Source organism: Homo sapiens, chromosome 5, assembly GCF_000001405.40.
Source record: "Homo sapiens chromosome 5, GRCh38.p14 Primary Assembly".
NCBI lineage: Eukaryota > Metazoa > Chordata > Mammalia > Primates > Hominidae > Homo > Homo sapiens.
The window spans coordinates 123,143,223-123,166,595 of record NC_000005.10 but is presented as its reverse complement, the minus strand read 5'-3'; the positions used below and the strand labels follow the sequence as shown (position 1 = coordinate 123,166,595).

Below are 23,373 nucleotides of genomic sequence, written 5' to 3'. Positions count from 1 at the left end.
GTTATTAAGCTGATGTTTTTACAGATAAATATTTACTCAGTTTCATCAAATGTAACATTCCATTAATTTCACCATTATAATCGTAAGTCACCATTAATTGCAAGACACTTGCCAGTTTCAGAAAGATTAAAATGTAAAATAAAAAACAAAAACATAAATTTTAGAATTGACAAAATACAGTTAAGACAAGTGTGGTAAGTGCTGTTAGAGAAAAGAAAGGATATCAGGAAATGATAAATCAGAGAATCTGGGTTCCTGAGGGGTACACGGGCATCATACAAGTGCAAAGGGAGGAAAAGGCAATGCAAAAAGATGGAATATCGGCAGCTTTGCCATAGAGTCTTGTGCCATGCTGAAGTAGGAAGGAGCTCAGGGCACTAAAGGAATGGAAAAAAAGGCAATGTGGCCAGAGAGAGAAGAGGAGATGGGCTGCAGCCGAGGCTTGAGAGGAAGGCAGCACAATTGCCAATGCCTGTGGGAGATGGACAGGCCACGGAAATATCTGACGGGGTGACGGGAGGCAGGTTAACACAACAGAGGATGGTGGGGGCGGTCACATTCTGAACAGGGCACGGCCAGTCTAGAGATGTTTAGAATCTAATCTTGTAAAATGCTATATGGGCCATAGAAAATGTTTCTGGAGACTCTATGTGACCCATAGGCTACCATATTAAGGAACTGGGGATTTAGCAAAGAGTAATGGCAAGCCAAAAAAAGATTTTAGGCTTGGGTGTGAGATGATCAGATTTACGCTTTAAAGGCATCATCACTCTGTATCGGTAAATAAAGAAACAAAGTACAGAACAGTGTATATAGTGTGCTACATATACATGTGGGAGAATGACAGCCAGAGAATAAAAGGGGGAATACGATTAGATGCTTGAATAGGCAAAAATTATCTCTGAAAGAATACCTGAGAATCTGCCAACATTACTGATGGCATCTTGGAAGGAGACTAGACTTTTATGTCCACAGTACTTTCTGCATTTTGATCTATGGGACAGAGCTACCTATTAACAAAACAAGTGAATAAACTGAAACAATAAAATAAGCAAGTGGTTGAAACTTCACTCTGGCCACCATGAACTAAAGAAAGAAAGTGTGAAGTCATGCAGAAGGCTACTGCAGGGGTCCAAGCCAGAGTGGATGGTGACACTAGTCAGGTGGCAGCAGAAATGAAGAAATGCATTAAGAATATGCAATCAACAGGACTTGGTGGCTGATTGGATAGAAGGGTGAGCAAGAGTGAGGTGTCAAGGTTTCTCGACAGAGCAATTGGATGATTGGGAGTGAGAGCTGCTGAAAGATGGGAGAGGCAGTTAGTGGGAGTGAATAGAGTGGTTTTAGTTTTACGCAGGTTTAGTTGGAGTTGCATGTGAGACATGGAAGTGAAGATGTTGCCAAGACAGCTGGAGAGGAGTCTGGCGCTCAGTAAGGAGGTCTGGATTGAAAATGGAAATCTGGGAGTACCTGTCTCAAATTAGGTCGCCCAGGAAACAGATTCTGAAATGGGGATTTGGGGTTTGGGGATTGCTCTCAGGATCAACACCTGTTGGGAAGTGAGGCAAGCAGCACTGAGCTGAGGGAGGAGTTTAACAGCTCTGGAGCTGGATGGAATGAATGTCCTTTAGGGTTGTCCTGGTTTGAGGCAAGGGAACAGTCCTTTATACACCCCACATTGACCAGTCATTGGTCATGGGCTACTGTGGGAGGAAGTATGACCAAGGGCGAGGTGGTTCAAGTGGGCTAAAGGTAATTCCTGGAAACAACTCATCCGAGATGTCAGCCCCCTACACTCCCACAAACAGTCGGAATGAGCACCTCCATCCAGTAGCAAAGCTGGGCTTGAGGCAGCACACCACAATATCCTACAGCACGCAAAAAGTCAAATCTCTCATAACAGTGACTTTCCCTGAGACCTTTGTCATTTGTCTCTGTCAACACCTTTTTAGTGGGTGCTGCCTTCTTGTTGGAGTCTTGCAGAAGAGTCAGAAGCATCCCTGCGGAGTGACTTCTTTCTTCTTCTAGGAACCTACAGGTTTCAACAGCTCTAGACCAATTTTTATATTAGTTTCTTGGCTCAGGGTTTCCATAGCTGGCAAGTAGTACAAAATCAAGCCTCATAACATCCTACGACTAGGGCTAGGTTTTAGAGTGTGACTTTGTTTTCACCAGTGCCCCAAGATGGACAGTTCCTTAGCTTACTGGCTTGAGGGCAGCATTTTTCTATTCCCCATTCAGGGACAGGAAAGTATCTTTTGGTTCCTGGTTCTAAGCCAACCCCAGCTTTGCACTGTACACAAGAGGCCTGGAACCTTGACTTCTCCCAGCTGAATGACTTAGACAGCCTGACAGCCCCGAGCTCAAGCTCTCTGCTGTGGCCACCTCACACAGCATCTGCACAGTGTTTGATATTGTGGTTATGTGCTTATGTGTTCTCTTGTAGACTGAGCTCCTCCAGGACAGGGCCTGGCTTTTTGCACCCATCACAACGCTTCCCCTGGGGCCCTGCACAGATGGTCTTGTGGACTGAACTATACATTATCTTCTAAAGGTCACCACTAAGGGCTTGAGTAGGGCCTTCCTGACTCTGACCTAGTTTCTCGCTGTTGGTGGAACGGTGGGGGTGAGGGGCACCGTGAAGAGGTCCCACTTTTTATTTTCTGCTCTTTAAAATCAAAAGAAAAAGGCAGGGCTCCTCCAGGCAGGGTTTACTCCAGTGCAGCAACTCCCCTGTTGCCATCAAGGTTCACATTCTGCCACCTCAGCTTCATATGCTGAGACAGAAAAAGCAGCAGGAAGACTTGTTTAACATTTATTCCCAGGATTTTTTTTAATTTCCTCTGAAACGAATATGAATACACTAAGGTCTTTACACTCTGCAGGAGCTAATCCCCCACTGGAAGCTTTGGGGAACCTCATTCCTTCTTGCGGATGTGATCTGTCGACACAGGCGTTCCTTCAGGCTCTTTTGAAAGGCCCACAGTGGATGGAAAGGCACTCTCTTTGGAGCTCTATTACATTTATAATACGACTTTTTAAAAAAGAAAATAACATGGGAATTGCTTCCAGAACCCAAATGCCTGTGTGAACTGCTGTCTTCTCTGAGTCAAGGCAGCTTTCAATGAGCTGTCCGGGCAGTGAGTGTACCCACGGCCGCCCTGCTTTGGGGCCGCCAGCGGAGGGGGCACGTCCTGAACCCAAACCCACCGCACACTCTCGATAGGAAATGTGTACTTTCAATGTTGAAAGAACCATGGGAAAAAAGTTATATTTTTATAAGTGAAAGTGCTTAATATTACTCACTAAGTAAAATCATATTTTCCTTGAATGCCTTGGTCCAGGTATCAATTTCATTAACAACAACAAAAAATCTGCCTGAAATATTTAATCCCTTCTAATAATGGTAATAGAAATTCTCAGTATTTATTCAGTGCACATTTCTTCATTGTTCACTGTGCGCAGAGCCCTATAAAGAGGCTCTGTGGAGGTATTTTATTGAAAAAGTCTTTGATCTCAAGCTTCTTTTTAGGTACCTAATTTATTTTGTGGCTAGCTCAGTGGGATAAAAATGTCTTGGAATTGCTAATCCAGTGGAGATGATTTAAATTACTCAGGGCTGTGGAAGGCTATCTGTTAAATTATCTGCCCATGCCCTTTTACACATTTGTGCTTTCAAATCACAAGAGTATTTTCTTAGCACAGAAGAAGGAATCCTCATTTAGGTGTTTCCAGGTCTCCCAGTGAATCACATGGAATGAGAATCCATCTTAGAGGCAGTCAAAGTCATATATCTCCCCCACACGATCTGATGAAGCCTTCTGCTGGTTTCTTGGGTGGCCAATCACATGACAGATATATGACTCTGAGACAGGAACTGAAATAAAATTCCTATAATACCCTTGGGGGAAAGGGGATTGTCACTGTTGAGCACTTTAGTCAATGGCTTAATTCCTTTTAAACTTCCCTCAACCCTTACTTAGAGCTCTGAACGGAACCCAAAAGAACTACTTAGTTTTCCTACTGAGTCTACAATACTTCAAGCTGTTGTAGCTTTGCAAATTTTCTTTCAAGGACTTCAGGTGCTAAATGATATATCATATATCCTGGTAGAGTTTATTCAATACTCTAATCATCAATCTCAAGAATGCTTCACTCAGGTTAGACACTAGCAGAAAGAAGAACTGAAAAGCAAACTGGTATGTTTTTTCCAGAAAGTACATTTTTGGCACGGTGGCACCAAATCTGAAGGCCAGTGGTATGCTCTTAGACACCCATTTTCAGGTGGCTGTGAATGGCACAGAGACCCAAAAATGCTCTACTCCAACCCCTCAATGCCTCCTGTCCGTGTGACAGCATTGTCAGGTGGAAGCACCATGTGGATATGAGTCTCCCACGCCAGAGATCCAGATCGAGGGTAAGAAATGCATTTCCTAAGTGGTCACTCCACAGTTTCCATTTCTGGCTCAGAGCTTAGTAAGTGGTCATGCCATCCTTCCAGCTCCTCAGGCCAAAGGCCTCAAAGTCATCCCTGACTCCTCTTTCTCACTCAGCATCTAATGTGTCAGAAAATGCTGTTGGATTTACTTTTAAAACATATCCAGAATCCAACTACTTCTCACCACCTCCACCACTTCCATACTAGTCCAAACCACCATCATCTCTCCCCTGGATTTCTGCAAGAGCCTCTAGCTGGATTCCCTGCTCTTCCCCCTGTCCAGTCTACTGTCCAGTCTCCACTCAGGGATTATTCCTGAAAAAAATTCAGTCAAATAGTTCTTTTTCTCAAAACCCTACAACAGCTCCCTTTGCCTAGCTCACACAGAGTTAGAGCCAGGGTCCTGACAATGGCCTCTAGGGCCCTACAAGGTCTTCCCTGCCCTAGCACGCACCCACATCTAAGTTAACCCCTCTTCACCTCACTCACTCAGCCGCACCCATGCTGACCTCTGTGATGCTCTTCCAACATGCCAGGAACATTCCCATCTTGGGACTTATAACTGTCTGGCTGCCAGGAATGCTCTTCTACCTACTAACACATGGCTTGTTCCTTCACCATCTTAAGTCTTTGCCCAAAGGCCACCTTCCCAGTGAAGCTTACCCTGTTCACTCTCTGAAACTGTAACTCCCAACTCCTGGCACCTCTTTACCCCTTTTCTGCTTTATTAGCCCACAACACTTATCACCATCTGACCAACTATTTATTCACTTATATATCTGTTGATAATCTGTCTCCCCCCATTAAAATGTAAGCTCCATGAGGGCAGGGATTCTTTCCATTTTGTTCACTGCTGTATTTATATCACCCAGCAAAGACACTGGCTCATGGTAGGTGTTCCTTACACATCTGAACAATGAATGAATAAATGTTTGGCCTTGATATGTTGTTTACTCTAGACATCCCTCAACACACACACCACAACAACAGCTTCAGAGTCTGTAGCAGGTTGTAGTAAAAGAAGAAACAGAGGATCTCGTGAGATTTCTAGAATCCTTTTGGATCAAACACTCTAGATGGTTACATCAAGGTTCCAACCTACAGACAAGTACATGTTAGTAGATGGGGAGGCTGGCTGATGCTGACACCTTTCTGTGCATAGATAAAGATCTAGTTTTGGGGGCATGGGGCATGGAGTCATTCTGTTTGAGGCAGAGCACAGTGGCTTCTATGTCTACATTTGCCTCTCACTGCATACTCATGGCCAACACTGAGATTTTCTCCTATGAAAACAGGAACTCCCTCAAACAGGAATATGGCTGCAGAAAAGAAACTTTCCAGTGGAAGCTTGCAAAATCAGAGGAATGTACTGTATGTGCAAAGATTTATTTTTTGATTTGAGATTGGTTTTGGGGTTAGGGTAAAATAGAAAAGGAAAGTTGATAGTAATAGGCTTTTTGACGATTTTTCTTTTTACAAAGAAATTAAAGACAAAATGGGAAAGAAATATCTGACGATCAGCATTTTGATCAGTCATAATATGAGCGTTTTTAAATTGCAGTTTTTGTGTGAGTGCATGTGTTAGAAAGTGGAGAAGAAAATTTTAAAAACCCACTTTTTTCAAAATGAAGTTTCTTATCCATTATCAAAAGATATCTGTTATCTTTGTTTCTTTTTGTAGCATAACATCAAACTATCAGCTCACAAATTAGTCAATGTGGTGACAAGAAAACACAATATCACTGAAACCAGTGTTTCTCACTGAAGCATATCAGAATAACCTAATTCTGTTCCAAATACGAAATCACTTTAAAATACTTTTCAAATAACTGATAGAGCAGAAATATAAAGTTTACATGAAAGTTGCTGCAAGTTCACATTTGCCTAGATGTTAATTCTTTTAAAGATAATGGTTGGCACGGTAATAAAGATAGGAGAAAATTACATGTTTCCAGACATGGTTTTAGACAAAAAATTTAGAAAGACACAAATTCCTCAGTCACATATCTACCATTTTAAATATTATTTCTCATGCAAATGACTATGTAGGAGGAAGCACACCCAATCAACTAAAGGGGTGTTACCCCTGATTAAATGTCATTGCTTTCTTATTACTTCATTTTTGCATACAGTGTGGCTCCCACAGGACTGTACATCCCTTCAGAGCAGAAGGTGAATCTTACACTGCTCTTGTAATCCCTAAGGTGGCAAGCATAGAACCAGACACATAGTAGGTACTCAGTGAATACCAGCTGACTTAACTTGCTTCAACTATTATTTAAAATTCTGGCAAAGGCTTTGAAGTTGTTGATAAGTGAAGGACTGGCCCATACAGGTTAAGATGCCCTAGAGAAAGCAGATGACATGCAGGGAAAAGAAAACGATGGAATAGACTTGTATATGTTTGTGTTACTTATTACAGTGAACCACGTTTCATGAGTTTCAAAAAAAGCTCTTAAAAAGTTAGCTTTGAAATAGGTATATTGAAATGTGAATTCAGAGCTAAAATAAATTCTTACAGTTTTCATCCTGGGCAATGCATTGTAAGGGGATCCCAAAGAAAGACGTATAGCTGTCATTGTACCACACCAGAAGCTCGGTGCCCCTAGGGATATCTATACAGGCTCGGTAGAATATATTCGACCTATTCAAAACAAAAGAAAACCCAGCTTAGTAATACATAGGACTCATGTGCCCCCATCCATATTTTTATTGCCCTGAAAAAGTTCTACGCAGCTCCATCTAAACAGTTTCTGTTTGTAATAAATTTACATCCAACTGATTGTCCCCAGCAACCAATTAGAGTCTGTAACTCAGTGTGATAAACAGCATTCAATTTATTTCCACAATGACCCTCCCTAGAATGAACTGGCTGAAGAGACAGATATTTAGCCCAGGAGACATCAGAAAGGAAGAATTAATTTTAAAAAAATTTCATCTCACACTAATGAGAAAATTCCCTCCTGGAAAATTGCAAAGACACTGGTGCCCCAACCTCATATATAAATACTATTGATTTCTTATTTGAAGGAAAAGCATTAAATGTATTATTGCAACTTGGCATTGGGAATTCCAAAATTTGTAATAAAATTAAGCAGCTTTGTGATATAAGGACTCAGGGAAATAAAAATCTTCTCCACTGCTCTTCTAAAGTTTGATACAGGAGAAGAGAAAAACCCTCTGATGTGAAATGGATGGAAATTCAATAAATACAAGAGGAGCACTTTACTCTGGCTGAAAGATTACACTCTGAAACGATACAGTGAAGGTACTGAAAAATGAACATTTTTTATAATAGCTTTGGTACTGTAAAAAAAAAACCTACAGATTAAAAAAATGAGGAGACTGAGACTGGTTTTCTCAATGAAGAACTGCTATTACAAATATGAACCTCAAGTTCAAGATAAAAGTGTGTAGGGTTGGTGGGCCTTAAATTTCTCCTTTCTGTAAGGAATTGGCTGTAGCAGGGCAATTTGTTCCTTGTATAACACTGCAGACATAAGGCGAATGCTTCTCCACATTTTTCATGGCAGTGAGATATGCACTTGTCAACATATTTTGTCACCACAAAGTGGCTCTTGGCAATAGGATCATAAAGATCAATAAAAAAGTGCAGATTCTCAATATTGTACTTGCAGCTGCAAAAATTTCATTTATCTTGTTATTTTCCTTACTTGCTGCCATTCTGTCTCATGAGGGCACTGCTAGCTAAGCAGAATGTTTTTCCCAACATTCTATGAATATCTGACAAAAACTCCAGCCAGTTGCCTAGCTCTTGCTACCCTTCCTCCCTCTGCATCTCCAAGAGCTCTGCATTTTATTAATTCTTTCCACTGCTACATAAAAAAATCAAAATTGGAGCTGAGCTATAAATCACTGGCATCTTCTAACTTGAGAAAAATTGAGTCTACTTTGTACTTCACCCTTGCAACATTTCATCTCTCGGTTTGGCTTCCCTTAATATAAACACTGCGCCCAGCAAATGAATGTGCTAAAACCAAATGACACACTTTGCTGCTGAAAGAGCAGAACTGTTTTCGAGCAATGGGTGGTCTTCTGAGGCACCGAATAGGCCGAAAGGCGGAAAAAAATGTGTAAGCGTACACCATTCCTTACAAGTGGGCAGAGCTTCCAAAACTCGCAGAAATCTCTGCATGTTGAAGCACATCAAAGGGATTTTTCCCTTTTCAGATAATATTTCCTTTGCTGACATGTATTTAGTATTGTGGTTGGATGACTCATAAAGATAGCTTCATGGCGTCCCAACGCAGTTGAAGTGGAACACATGCCAATAAACATTATTGTCAGCCTCAAAATAAAAACAAAACGTTCAGCTAAGGGTCAATCAATCAAGTGTGCTTTGAAGAAAATTCCATTTAGATATTACAAATCATAACAGAATGAATTTAAACCAGCTGACTTTTTGTGAAGAGGACATTCATGTACAATAAAAATTAGCCTGGCTCTTCAGGGTCCAACTTTTCTATTTTCTTACTCTTGGACGTGGTCACTGGTGATGAATGCCAGTTTTTAAAATTGGGCTTTTGTATTTCATTTTGTAAAGATCTGAAGTAATCGAAAACAGATCGGCAGAGAGAGCTCATAGTGTAAGCGCCGTCATGAAAGGGGGAGTTGTAAAAAACCCACTTAATATTGACAGATAGGCAATGACTTACCCGTGCCCACCTTCCTCTTAGGGGGTTCTTGTTTTCCCAAATTCAGAATTTGCCTCTATAGCTCCCTGGGTACCCATTACAGAACCAAACTATCTCTTACTAAGTGGACAAGTACAATCTTCACTAATTTTCTAGCTCAGAGTTTTATAAAAAACCTCACAACAGAAATGCAGCTGTAATAAAGGTGAATAAAGCCCACATACAGCAGTGTAATGAAATACTGTCTTGTGCTACTTCATTTAAACTGTTATTTAATGAAATAAAACTGCACTGAAAACCAAGGCGGTGAGTCACATACTGCCCACATTTTTTTTAATTGAAGACCTCAGAGAGCAAGCCAAATTTGTGCAGCCTTTAACCAACAAGGGGAAGAAAGTTAAAAAGAAAAAACTTAAGCTTCGTTTAAAAAAAAAAAAAAAGGAAAGGAAAATAAATAGCCATAGGCAGGACTCCAAGTTGCTGAGCACAGAGCCCTCTGCTTTGATGTGTCTGTGGTGCCTAATAAAGCTAAACAGTTGCTTCTGATTCTAAAGAGAACACGGCTGTTTATAACTGAGGTCATATATTTATATAGCACACGTTTTCGAGGGATTTTGAGAGAAGAAGGCTTAGTGGTGGGGCTTTTTTCCTATTTGATTTGTTTTTGCCCTCTCATCTCCACTCCAGCCTTCCTTAGCACTAAGTGGAAATGCTTCACCAGCAGGTGCACTGAGAAGAACTGGCTGAGTGTCCGGGGAATCCACCCTGCTTCTCAGCTCCCCAGAGGCCTCCCTATGTGGACCCCCTAAGGGAAATGGGGATGGCTCCACCCTGCCTTTGTTATCCTCTGTGTTTTGCCCATACCTTTCAGGAAACCAGGGGCTTCTCTATGCCCGGAAACTGCCTCATCAACTGAAACAAATCCTGAATCATCAAAGGGCCAAACCCACTGCCACCTTTAGACGGAGCAGGAGAGTTACCCTGGCTCTGTCACTGCCACTAAGTCTAACGGTTTTGGAAAGGTATCCTTGGGAAGGTAGCGAGTTCTTGGTTTCCCATGCTGTTGTGCAAATAAAGCTATTCCTCAAAGGAGACAGCATGAAGGAGACTGAAAGCAAGAGACCTGAGGCTGAATCTCTGACCTTCTACTTATCTGTGTGAAGACGACTGCTTGGGAAAAGCACCCCAAGTCAGTGGGTTTGCTGGGCTCATTCAGACCATTCTGGAAGTTCTAATGATGTGGGAGTAACTTCACCATGTGCACGGAGTGAAGGAGGCCATCTACGAGCACTTTTAATCCTAAATGTTCATGAATGCTCTTACTGTCATAGGAACTAAGGAGGTTTCAGAAACCTAGCAAAAAAAAAAAATGTCTGCCAGTCCTTGCAGAGTTCTGCAGGATTTTTTTTACCCACCAGTGGCAAGCCTGAATTTGTATATGCAAGCCAAATGGCTTCAGCTCTGTAGGTGGTAAATCAAGATATACTTTACCTGTACTGAACTACTGTTAGATTCTGTTCTCCGCAGTGCCTTGCACATCGGATATACCTCATCCAGCTCGACTTACTAGGTTCCCCACCATCAATAAAGTGCTGTAGTGTCCCATCCTGGTCATATATCTGGAGAAGAGGTCAGAAGGTCAAGTAGTTAGAACGAATCATCAGCAATCATTTTCCCTACTTCCCTTGGTGTCTTTATGTGTCAGCTGCAGAAATTTATTGCCCTTAGGTTTGCTAGTGCTTATTGATGCTTGTGGACAACTCAACCGGAATAACAGGAAAATATGTTTTGATGATGCAAGTCGATCATGTTTTTCTTATCAAGCCAATCTTCTCTGTATTAAACATATTTGTGGTATCTCACGGATGTGACCATATTTCCCAAAGAATATTTAACTTATTTTGACAGGCTAGTCTTAAATAATGAGCTGCTGGATAAACAAAGCAAGCTGAAAGGAGAGGCCGCACTGACATTGTTGGAACATCCACATTCGAGGCCCCCCAGTCTCAAACACACAACTGCCCAGAGGCATTCGGGAGGCAGTAACTGTCTGTTCAACAGGCTGGGCGACACCCAGCAGAAGGCAGTTGGAGAGTTATGGAGCCGTAAAGAACTGGCAAAACAGACTCTGATTTGGGTGAAATAAATGGACTCTCACCTCAAAGAAGATGTAGGGCTTCAGTTTTCAGGACCTGAAACTAGTAGGAGAGGAGTCATTAAAAAAAAAAAAAAAAAAAAAAGAGAGACCCTCAAAAAAGGAAAGAAAAAAAATGGCTGTCTCCTATGAATCCTACATTTCTTAACCGAGTTGTCTAATTGTTACTGCCTCACATCAATTCAAGCAGATTTCCTTTCAAGATAGCATTTGAGAAAATGAAATCTGCTTCAAACCACTCAATAAGCATGAGACAAAAAGTCTTGTGAAAGCAACTAGGGAGCCAAGCAAACACAGAGTCAGTGCCAACAGCAGAGGCAACAGCTTGCCTTTCCAGAAACGACTTCAGATTCAGGGCACTTAGGGAGACATGGTATCTAGAGGAGTGGGAGATGAGGCGGTCATGTATCCACAGCAATTCTAGAAAGTCACTCCCAGTCCTGGGGCCATCCAGGAAGCAGGGACAGTTAAAGAATTTCCTAAGGGTATGGTTCTCAGAAGGACCATCATACACTGCACCTTTTCAGATAAAATCAGCAGTGGGATCCTTCTGCTGGTAGCTACTTCTCCAGAGCATCCTGACAAATCGTGTCTCTCACTCTTGCTAGTCCGCCCTTCCAATTTTCCTTTTCAAATAAGCATGGAAAATAAGTGTTAGAGAGAGCCTCACTGGTTACATTTAGGCTCCAAAATTAGTATGGTCATTCATATTAGTTTAGCTCAGCAGTTCTATTCCGGGGGAGGGGGTGCAAACGGGCTTAGTGATGACAGTTTCTTTTTACTAGTCATTTAAAAACAGCTGAGTTTTTTTTTACTTTATTTATTTTATTTTATTTTATTTTTTGCTTTTCTTGAACTCATTCCTCTCCAACCCCAACCTTTCCACTAACCCCACAATGAAATTCAAACATTAATCTGTTAAAAACAATTGAGAAGTTATGACTGGGTAAACACACCAGGGTGATCACAGCTGATAATCAATTTAGCTTGAGCAGAGTGAAGAGATTCTTGGATTATATTTATTTAAGGCTAATGACTTCTTTAAATTTCTAGGTTTTGGATAATGGCAAAAAATGGAAACATTGCATGGGGTGGCTACATCTGCTACATGAACAATCTAATGATAGACAACATATTTAGGATTGATTACACTGTAGTTGTTTCTGTTTTTGTTGTTGTGGGGTTTTGTTTTTGTTTTTGTTTTTCTAAAAAAACTAGTTAAGATTCAAAATTTCAACTCTGAAACTGTTGTTGACAGCCTCAGAGTTGAAATTTTTAATCTTAACCAGTTTCTTCAAAATTGCAACATTGACCAAAGCCATTTGGTTCCCTTAATGCCACTGTTAATCTTTGATGGAGTAAGAAATGTTGATGACCCAGCCCCCTACCCTCCCTTCCCTCAAGAATAAACCTTCCACAGGGACTGCTGGTGAAAATTATTATGAAGCATTTTGAGAAGTGCACACAACAATCCTCCTTTGTGCATGAAGCCACTATCTTCAACAGCAAGTAAAATCCTCTAACATGTCTAACTAGTGGGGGCTGTCTTAACCGTTGGCTCATTTGATCACCAGCCACTAACCAGTCCACCTTGAAAATTAGTATGAAAAGTGTTTCCCCCTACACTCTTGTTTCAGCAGTAATCTTAACTAAGTATATCGTGACTACAAGGAAATCTACAATTTTTGCCTGCCTGATATAAACTGCTACTTGCCTTGAGGAAAAGTAAAAGGCTATTTGTCAGGCTTTTCCCAAATATCACACAATGTAGCACATGGCATGAGGTTTGGTTTTCCTGGCTTTAGCTAATACTAACATTATAATATTTCACATGAAACTGTGACGCAAATCCCATGCACCTACTTAAACCCCACGACTACATACCCAGAGTTGAACAAACTCATTCAACCTTGATACTGCTTTCTCCCTCAGCCCCCAGAGCCTAGCCATCATCAAATCCAGTTGAATTTGTCTTCTACGTACTTTTCAAGTGCATTTATGTCATTCTCTCCACTGTTAACCATTTTAGCCCAAATAAGATGTTTTTTCTCACCTAAAGTATAGCAAGAGTCTCTTAACTGATTTCAAAAAACATCAGAGAAAAAAATAAATGAAAAGAAAACCTAGCCCTTTTTTTTTTTTTTTTTGTAGTTCAGTTTTTGCATGCATTGTTAAAACAGAGAAGCTATGTTACCTAATGTTAAAAACTATCTGTTATCCTCTTGGGAAAATATTTGTAATACATATCACTATACTATCAGCCTCTGATTTCTTTTGTGATTGTTGTTGCTGCTATTTTCAAACCATTGCTTTTGGTCTGTTCTTTCTCTTTTATCAATAGGAGTAGAAATATAAGAAAAAGGGAGACCTAATTCTTACCTGTTTAAGCGGATTTTAACAGTATTGAATCTAATTCTATTTATTGGGACATCACACATATGGTTGAAATAATGATCACACAATTTCTCACTCATTACAAATCATGCATGGCATTAACCGAAAGCTACCACAAGAAAGGAGTTGTATTGTGATCCTGGATATTAGGAAGTGCCACTCTCTCCCATGCTCTTATTTTCCTTGCACAAAATCTAGCTTTAAATGAGAGCAGCAGGAGTAAATTATGCACCAGGGTTGCACGTTACAACAACTGTCTGTGAGTGGCTTGTCCACTGCTTTGTCATTTACCAAGGCTGCCAGCTTATGATAACAACAATAATCATAGAAATGGTGTAAGCCAGTGACTGATCTAAGCTCGTTTTAACATAAGCATAATACCATCTTCCAAATGATAGGAATTGTGTGTATTGGTGGCTCTGAGCAAAGTGTTTCTCCTTTGCAAACTAGTGGCTCTCAGGCTAAATTCAAGCAATAGACCAACCTTGTTTTTCCTGAACAATGTTTAAAAATTTTTTTAATTTTATCTAGTTGAGATTTCTAACTTCTGAAAAATCAAAAGATGGGTCCTCGATCTCTGGCAGTGATCCCCTTAAGATAAGAAAAGATGGCTCCCTTTAGACTGGGCTTGAGCTTTTCCAGTTCTGCAGTCTCTACCTCTCTACTGTCTTACATGCTACTTACTTCACTAATTTACTTACCTGCTTGGCCTCATTAGACATTTACATTTGTAAGCCCAGCTGTAAGGGAATTCCTGCCACCACTGAAAATCAGTCCATTACAGCTGGGGGCACTTTCAAAGAAAACTGTTTGAAGTGACAGCCTAGAAACACTGCAAACATTCATCACTCCTGTGCTTCCCAGATGCCATCATCTGACCCAAGATCCAAGCTTTCTGTCCTGTAGTTTTCCAGTGAAGGGGAGTACAGAGTATTGTTTTTTTCTGTTTTTTTTTTTAATTTCCCTCCATTTTTACCAGCACAGGCTTTCAAAGATCTTTTTAAGTGAAGGATCCCCTTTAATTCAAGGACGTCTTAAATGTAATTCCACTATAAAAACAGATGAAATTTGCCCTGGTTAAAAAATGAGGGGTTGATGAGAGCACCTCACCAGCACAACTAACCCCACTATGACTCTCTGAGACAGTTCCCAGGACACCTCTAGGGGCCCAAGGTGAGCTGGGGGACCCTGTGTGAAAAAGCACAGGCAGCACATTTCCTCCAGTAGATAAGGCCTCCATGAAAAACTCAGTCACCAACTCTTCTGCCAGAATGCCGAGCACTGTGGCTAAATTTAGAGCCCAGGAAAATCAGATTTGGAAGGGACCTCAGAGACCATCTGTTCCAACCCCATCCATTTATACAGAAGGAAATGGCGTCTACAAAAGTTAGTAGTCTAAGCAAAGTGAGACGACTAGTCCATGACAGAACCAGAACTCATCACCAGGCCTTCTCACCTTCTCTCCACTTCTCTGCCTCCCCATCTGGGAGTGTGCTGAGGCCTTCCTCACCTCATTCAGTCCTGTAAATATCCTGAAGAGAGCTAATGACCTCAGACAAAAGGAACTTGAATTACAACTTAATCATGAATCTGCTCCTCCCCGAACGGGTTCCCTGGATTTCAGCATGGGGAGGGGGAAGTGGGATCCGAAGGTTTCATATAAAAGGGATTAGCCAGTTTTCAGGGAGTGAGGAGACATTTCAGACGCCCTCTCCCATGCTCCCAACCCTGGCATATCCCTGTGCCAAGGCTCCAGATACTGGCATTTGGTTGTGTGTTGAAGTGCCAGCCTCCAGTTTTCGCCAAGCAGCTGAGGTGAGGAAGCATATTTTATGCCCATACATCTAATACAGGGCCCAGCACATAGAAGGAACCCAATGCATGCCGAAGTAATTGAATTCTCACAATAATTCTGTATTTTCTTAAAGATCTTGGATTTTACTCAAAGCTTAAGAAGAAATTACCACTAAACGCAATTAAACCTTGATTCTAAGTATTAACAACTAGGATTAAAAAATATTACATGCTTTTTGAAGCCAATCTCTTTCAACTCTATGAAATACAAAGGTGAATTTCATATGATGATTTAAAATGGAATAAACAATTACCACAGAAAGGGCCCAGAAAAGGTCGTTGGAGATTTCCAGTTTAGACCTGTGAACCCAGCGCTGTTTACAATCCTTTCACAGCTCATGGAGTATCCAGGGAAGACCAGATAAAAAGACACCGTTTCTCAGATATCCTCTACCTATTTACACAGTGCCTTTACACAGCCCCATCCTTCTATAAAATTCAGAAAATTGGGGTTCCAATAGTCAAGTGTATTAGAAATTTAAGAAAGCATACTGTTTGCCAACATAGATAAATATGTTTTACTACACAATTCCTCTGCGTGTCAGGAGGTAGAGGCCCAGTATTTTGTAGTCCATAAGACAGCTCTACAACCATTTACTCAAAAAAATGATTCTTGGCTGTTTTGACTATGAAAAATTAGTAACCAGATTTCTTTTATTGCTAAATAAAAGATTTTTAAAAGGTGAACGGTGGTTGTTAAAGGAGACCTTCTTAAGTATTCTCAGTGAAAACACACGATATAAACCACTATGGTTAAGGGCGACCATAGGGTGTAGAGTACAGAGGTTAAGAGCTTGCATGTGGGTGTCAGTTTCAATGCATGTGAGTTACAATTGTGATGACGTGATTTTGGTCAGTTATTTAACCTCTTAAGGAAACTGAGACTTTCTTTTTCTGAGAAAAAAAAATGGTGCTAATAATAATCCCTACCTCAAAGAGCTGATATAAAAACCAAATAAGTGAGTATATGTAAAGGACTGAAAACAATGCTGGACATCTAGTAAGAGCTCAAAGAACATAGCCAGCCTTAGACCAACACTATTATTAGATGAGAAACGTCAGTCTAGACATAATCTACTAACTTGCTCACGGACACTGGCCACAATATATTATGCGCAGCATATGCAAATAAACTATTTCTAAGGTTACCAGAGCATAAACTCACTGAGGGCAGGAGTGCATTTTAATCATTTTGTAATTTACTGATAGGTACCTTACACAGGGTTTTGTACACACCAGGAAATCAACTTTTGTTGAAAAAGAAAAGAGAAAGAAGAAAAAGATTTGGAATGACATCAAGGGAATACAGGAGTAAAACAGTTGACGTGTTAATAGTTTATATTTTATCTCCCAGATGAATCTATTTTTAAAATAAAGCAAACTATGTCAAAATAAGAAATGGTATATGAATGTAAATACTGTTCAGAAAACGGTAAGGAAGCATTTCTTCAACTCCACACTTTCCTAAAGTTAATCAGTTTTTAGTTCATTGCAGTGTCGCTTGTCATGCAAAAGACATAGGCACCCACTATACCTTTGAGAACATTTCTGGAGCATGCTTGAAATTAACAAGTACAAATGTTTTAATTAGCTGTGGCTTTAGAACCCCAATATCCCAATATCTCTCACTGAACATCACCTACCATATAGGATTGCTTGATCTCTGAAGTCACTGACATTTTTGACCAGAGGGAGCCCCAACTTACAGTGCCATATTCCTGCATGAACACTCAATATGTTCAAGGTAGGTGAGCTGTCTGTGCAGTCACATGTACCTGGATGCAAAGCCCGGGACATTTGTGGATTTCAGCCTGGAGCCTCAGATCCACAGAGATCCAGCACTGCTCCCCAGTCTAGAGAGGAAAACAGCAAATACCACAACAGTGTGGCCTACTAACCTTTCTGGTTTTAAACTTTCAAATAAAGCTAAATCAAGGCTTGAGAAGAAAGATCACAAAATGAAACTTTCAAAATAAGTGAAAGCATCTGCCTCCACCTTCACACAAGCAAAGAACATCAGTTAATGACCAAGTCATACATATTCGTGTGGCATTTGAGTTTATAAAATACTTTTACAGACTTATTTATCTGTATAACTGACCTGCAAGAGAAGCTGAGAATATTATTCTGTTTTACAGGTAATAAGCCTTGGGCTGAGAAAGATGAAATGATTTGCTCTCAGTTATATGGTTGGGAAATGTGAATCATAGGCCACCATGTTATTGCTTTTTTCATCACATCCTATTTGCCCTATCAGAGAGAAATGTAGAGCTCTTCCTTTAAAACTAACTGAAATTCTCCAAATGAGGGTCATAAAAACATTCATAATGATTAATAAAGTTCTTTATCAATCAAATTTCTATTTTTAGAACAAATGTCAATTTAGTGAGAATTAATGTTATTAAAATGTAAACAACTAGCAATCATGCAATGGATAAAGACACAAATCCCCATTTCTGCTTATCGCAATGTGTCATAATGACCAGCAACATTAAAAAAAAAAAGACAATGCATAAGACCGTGAATATGCATATTTTACAATAAAGCTTCTTCATTAAACACCGACTAGTGTGCCCATATTATGTGTGTTCAGCTTTTTATTTTTTCTCAAATATATATTATACATTTTTTCATTTTAATAGTTTCTCCCTCCTCCACCTATTACAATTAACTTACTTTGTTGTTGTTTCTAATAAGGAAATCCTTTCCTTTCACTTTGGTCTGGAATATTTTGGAATGTCTCGAATGCCAAGATTCTAAAATGTGGCTTCAAAGGTCAAGTAATAAATACCCCATAAAATAAGTGAGTAATGGTTATATACACCATTGCTGTATTTTCAGTAATGCTGATATAAAGCTATATACTGTACTTTGTCAATTCACATTCATCAAGTTCCAGAAATATTAGAAAATCATTAGAGGTTTATGTTGAGTGTGCAGATAATACTAACATATAAGTCAAGACTGAAATATGGTAATCAGAAAAACAGTTGAAAAGTGTCAATGAACTGTAAAACACCTGTGGTGTTGTTTGCAAAGCCTTCATCAGAGAGCCGGCCATGTGAAGAAATGGAAATGGGTATTTTGGTCACACTGTGGGTCAGCTACTGCTAAGTGTCAAGTTAGCAGAGGAGAGTCGGTGACTCTGAGGATTATGACATGGGGACTCAGGCACTCCTGAGAACTGTTGAGCATTTGGTGAATTCCACTTATCTCTGAAGGCGGCGGCAGCCGTCGATATGAAGCCTGCCATCCATCATTCTGGAGTCTTCTTCAGGCATGCTCTGTCTGTTGATCAGAGGAAGACTTTGGGGAATCAGGCTTCCATTATCAGGATTCTGTCTGTGATCTGAACAAGCCACTGAACCTTTAACTTTTCACTTGGCAAAAGCATATATGCTGGAAAAGTCCTGACAGTTCATTCATTTTGCTCCATCCTGGAGCCAGCTGATGTCTGACTGGTGAGACCCGCCCTCTTTGATGTTGTACTCTTTTGAGAGTGCCCTGCTGTGAAAAAAATTTTATCCATCCAAATTAAAGAGAAATATTTCTGCATCCAGCTGTTAGCTGTGACATGTTTGCCATTTTTCACGGCACTGGCTTGGTGCCATCCACAGGCCCTGCTACAAACCTATCTTTTTCCCTCTTCTCCGTTGCAGCAATAATATCCACAGTGCACAACTGTCTCCAGTGTCCACACAACATCAACACTAAAAAGGAAAAAAATGGTAACCCTACATTGCTAAGAACAACCTTGGAAATATTTGCATGGAGCAGTTTCTTGTTCGTTTTCTCTCTCTCTCTCTCTCTCTCTCTCTCTTTTTAGTATCAGTGTTAATGTATTTCACAGACTGCAAAATTCTTTGACACAATCTACCCATTTAAAAATTGCTTAAATCCAGTCTTTAAAAATCTATCTTTAATTAAAGCAGTCAACAAGAATTCTTGACATCTATTAAATAATTTACAAATGAAATGAATTTGGATCCTGCGAAAACTTATTTTGTATATAGTGAGTTCACATTAAAAAAACAGACATTCGTTCACGCGTTCATTTGAGCAGAGAGAGCTCTGTAAAAATAAAGAAAACTCTCATGAAAGCTTGAGTAAACATTTATATCTAACTAATCAAGAAAACCTGTATCTTCTTTTATTTATTAAGTGCCATTTGGGGGCTTATAAAGATTGCTGCCACAAACTGTGTGTATTGTAAACAAAGGGCAGCTTTCATTATTACCACGTTTGTATCCATATCCTGAGATGAACGAGTAAGCACCACAGTTTCCAGCTTCCCTCCTATTCTGGCTTTTCTCTCTCTTCTCTCTCATATACACTTTTGCTGAGATGGAAGGGGATCAGTAAACTAGACCTCAGCCCTTGGCATCAGAGAATCCTGCCTTGCAAATAATCTCAGACTGTGGCTAGCAAATGTGAAGAGCTACTCAGCATCCCTTGTCGTGTCAGTGAAAGATGGATTTTGGAAACAACAACAACAACAACATGCTACATATGAGAAAGTATCAATTTTGGAAAATAAACCACAGAGAAATTTGTATTAACATCTTCCTCCACTTTTAAAAATAAAGCCTTAGTTTTATACCAAACAGGAAATGGAACTATTATTTTGTTAAAATAATCCTACAAATAATAGTAGTGTGAACTGATGGGATTTGCATGTTACATACAATCGTACACCAAATAGTTCTGCACTAGAGAACTATAAAATGACACATTTAAGTTAATGCTCACACTGCGATGCACACTTGAAATCTCCATATGCCTCGTGCAACACGTCTTATGGAGTACTATTTAACTCTTTATTGTAGCAGAAATTTTGGTTTATATAGTCTAGTGGGTACAATACCAAATAGACCTTGCTGAAACCTGACTATACCTCAGTTACTGACTACACCTCAGCCTGGTAGCTACTGAAAAATATGATTTCCAAGAAGCAGCTTGGACCAAAGCCTAGGTGCAAACTGCTATGTTAGACAGCAATCGTATTAAATACTTACAAAGTATTAAGTGGGAAATGTTTGTAAAGGGAACATCTCTAAAAAATAGACAGACTACTTCTATACATGCGCAGACACACACTATGCCCTAGAGCTCACCCGCTTTTTTTTAGTGAGAACTTTCTAAAGACACAGAATGTTTGTCCCAATGAAGTAATGGTTTCCTATGGTTTTACTTCTTTTCAGAGCAGGCAACAGCTTTATTTCTTTGCTGAAATGTGTCACTCTTTAAATTATTATGTTTTCCTAAGTCTACGACATTCTTTTCCTAACCACACCAACAAAGTGTGATTGTCAGACATGCTTTATTAAGGGAAAAGTGGCCGTCTGTCAAGGACAGAAAACATATTTTTAGATCTTAAATAATTGAGAAGACATTTCCTTATGTCACGTTGGGACAGTGCTGAGCATGCACTCAGTTCCCAGTTTACACTGTCCTGCCCTGGATCAGACAACTATGCAAGAGATGAAGCCACCCCTCAGACTCAGGGTGCTCAAGAAAGGGAGTATGTAAGAGCCACTACTGGCCTACATCAAAGACATTTACTTGCCATAGGTTTCCTCCCCATCAAGATCCAAGAGATGAGGCACCAAGGATAGAGGGTGATGACAGTAACGATGAGTCTTGAATTTAGACCTCTGACTTCCCAGACAGCATTCTTTCAACAAAAATTTAGTAAGCAGCTACTGTGTGCCAGCCACTGTGCTTGGTGCAGAGCATTAAAAACCTAAGACCCACTCCCTGCCCTCAAGTAATTTACAGTGCCATAGGTGAGAGACATGTAAAACAAATCATAAGACATCTTATCTGGTACCAAATCTGTAGATTTTCCCATCCAACCTTTGGATATTTGTTGTCTAGAATGGGATTCCTACATGTGGAAAAGGTAATCCATTACAATTTTGCAAAAAGGACCTCAGGACTTAAAGAGAGGCAAAGCTAATCATTTAAACCAATGCTGGATTTAAAAGGCAGCATTAAACAAGCATGCAAGGATATAACCTCAATGAGGGCAAGGATAAAATCTGTCTTGTTTGCCATGGTATCCCTAGGCATTAGCATGGTGCTTGGCATATAGTGCCTTGTGTTGGGAATGTCTGTCAGTTGGTTGGTTGTTTGGATGGATGGCTGCTTGGATGGGTAGCTGGATGAAGAGATGGACAGTCAGATGGATATAGATAAAAGGATACGACGCCTGCCAGGTACCCAAGCATTAAGGGCCGGGCCATGTCTCTCTGCTCTGTGAGTGAGCCAAAACAGCTAAGGCAGAGTTGAGTATGCCCTGGGAGAATTCTATGGGATACAATGTTGCTTTCAAAAGTATGCCTTGCCTAAATGGTTAAAATGAACATTTCCTTTAAAAATGTCCAAAAGTGTCTGCAGAGTTGAGGCTGCTACAAAGCAGCAGGATAAAGACTTCACCCAATGGAGAGGCCTAGCATGTACCTCTCTCTCTCCAAGTGTTGGTTCTCCTCCCATTCCAATCCCTAAAACTGTCCCACGCTGAGGACTACTGCTACCATCCCTAGTCTTCCCTTTCACTGACTCCTCAAACCATCCCCCCACCCCATTCATGCCTCAGTGCTTCTCTTCAGGCCCCAGTTCTCCTCTCATAAGGATCCTGGTAGCTGTAATTTATACCTAGTTGTGAAGGTGGGTCAAGGAGCTACTCTTGAAAAGAATATTTGCACTTTGATCTTTATCCTTAAGTGAAGTTTGAAAGGAGGCAATGACCTTTTAAAGGAATTCGAAAATGTGTAGTAAGGGCTGAAGTCATCCACTATGGGGGAGAGCAGCTGGCCATTCCCAGGATCCTTCCCATTGCATAGATGGCTGTGTTAGTCCTCATAGAGCTCTAGGGGAAGCTGTCCTAGTACAGGAGCACAGGCTCCCTGAGGAGGGTGAGACTCAAAGGAGAAGGCGAGGGATTCTGGTGACACGGGCAACCCCAGCTCCTCCTCAGAAGAGCTTTCTGCAAGTCCTCTCCAGGGGGTGCTAGCAGGGCCACTCAGCTCCACTTTCATAAAGAGCCTCAAATTTAGACCTTTGAAGCCATTTCCAGATGAGGTTATGCATACAATCACAGAGATAGACTGACAGGATTGAAAGAAGGAGGCCTTCTTTGCACAACTCTAAATTGGATCCCCTGACTGGACCACACTGCCTGTAGCAAACCATAAATTAACATTTTTATAAATCCTGTAATTAACTTATGAATAGCACAGTTCTATGTTTCTGGTATTAAAAGCATTAAGTTGTTAAAGGTAAACATTTAAAGTATACCACTGTTTTTGTAACCCTATTTTGGCATTTTTTTCATTTTTCAATATATCAAGAGCCTCAGAAAATGGAAGTGGCCCAGGACTCCAAACAAGCCTGGTTTGGGCTGGCTAATAAAGCTCCTTTCACACAGCTGGGTGGGAGGCTGGCAAGTGTGCAGCCAGCACTGGGACACCATGCTGTCTCCCAGAGAGACGCCCTGTGTTTCTGGATGGGCATTTGCGTCGTAAGGTTTGGTTCCCAGGAAATCTAACCAAGAGATCCCGTCAACTTGAATGTCTGGGACACAAGGTTTGCCGATCCTTTGTTTTGCAGAGGTTATGGCTCACATCAGACCCCAAAGAAAAGAAGGCACCTAGTTACACATTGTTATAACCTGTAGGCTTCCTAAATTCTAGACAGGACGTGGGATTGATTCCCTTCTTTCCACAGGAAGCATCTGTGGGCTGAAAGGAAATAATGGATGAAATCTCTTACGTCGGGTCTATAGAGAAGCTTCAGGCAGGGCTACAAACACCTTGAAACCACAAGAAAATGGTGTGTGTGCATATGAGTAACCTTCTGGGAAGAAGGTTCATAGT

At 40.6% G+C, this 23,373-nt stretch overlaps 1 protein-coding gene across 4 annotated transcripts in view, besides 3 other annotated features; it reads right to left on the bottom strand.

The window, feature by feature from the left end:
* Positions 1-23,373, bottom strand: part of PRDM6 (PR/SET domain 6) — a 105,026-nt gene that overhangs the window by 27,671 nt on the left and 53,982 nt on the right. For 3 of the 4 annotated variants that reach the window (XR_001742346.2, NM_001136239.4, XM_011543726.4), the window contains 2 exons: positions 10,585-10,712; positions 6,958-7,082 (listed from right to left, as the gene is read on the bottom strand). The exons of the other annotated variant lie outside the window; for it this stretch is intronic. Coding sequence is in view for 2 of the 3 variants with exons in the window: in NM_001136239.4 (NP_001129711.1) it covers positions 6,958-7,082; positions 10,585-10,712 (253 nt within the window). In the remaining variant the exon portion in view is untranslated. The remainder of the gene's footprint in view (positions 1-6,957; positions 7,083-10,584; positions 10,713-23,373) is intronic. 4 annotated transcript variants of the gene reach the window in all.
* Positions 3,130-3,630: an enhancer, noted in NCBI's record as "H3K4me1 hESC enhancer chr5:122498660-122499160 (GRCh37/hg19 assembly coordinates)". NCBI's record gives its function as "activates a minimal SCP1, AML or CMV promoter by ChIP-STARR-seq in primed H9 embryonic stem cells {active_cell/tissue: H9 hESC(primed)}" and the evidence as "EXISTENCE:reporter gene assay evidence [ECO:0000049][PMID:30033119]".
* Positions 8,469-8,688: a silencer, noted in NCBI's record as "fragment chr5:122493602-122493821 (GRCh37/hg19 assembly coordinates)". NCBI's record gives its function as "represses an EF-1alpha promoter that drives an FKBP-Casp9 reporter gene in an ReSE screen in phorbol 12-myristate 13-acetate-treated (for megakaryocytic differentiation) K562 erythroleukemia cells {active_cell/tissue: K562(+PMA)}" and the evidence as "EXISTENCE:reporter gene assay evidence [ECO:0000049][PMID:32094911]".
* Positions 14,937-15,442: an enhancer, noted in NCBI's record as "NANOG hESC enhancer chr5:122486848-122487353 (GRCh37/hg19 assembly coordinates)". NCBI's record gives its function as "activates a minimal SCP1, AML or CMV promoter by ChIP-STARR-seq in naive H9 embryonic stem cells {active_cell/tissue: H9 hESC(naive)}" and the evidence as "EXISTENCE:reporter gene assay evidence [ECO:0000049][PMID:30033119]".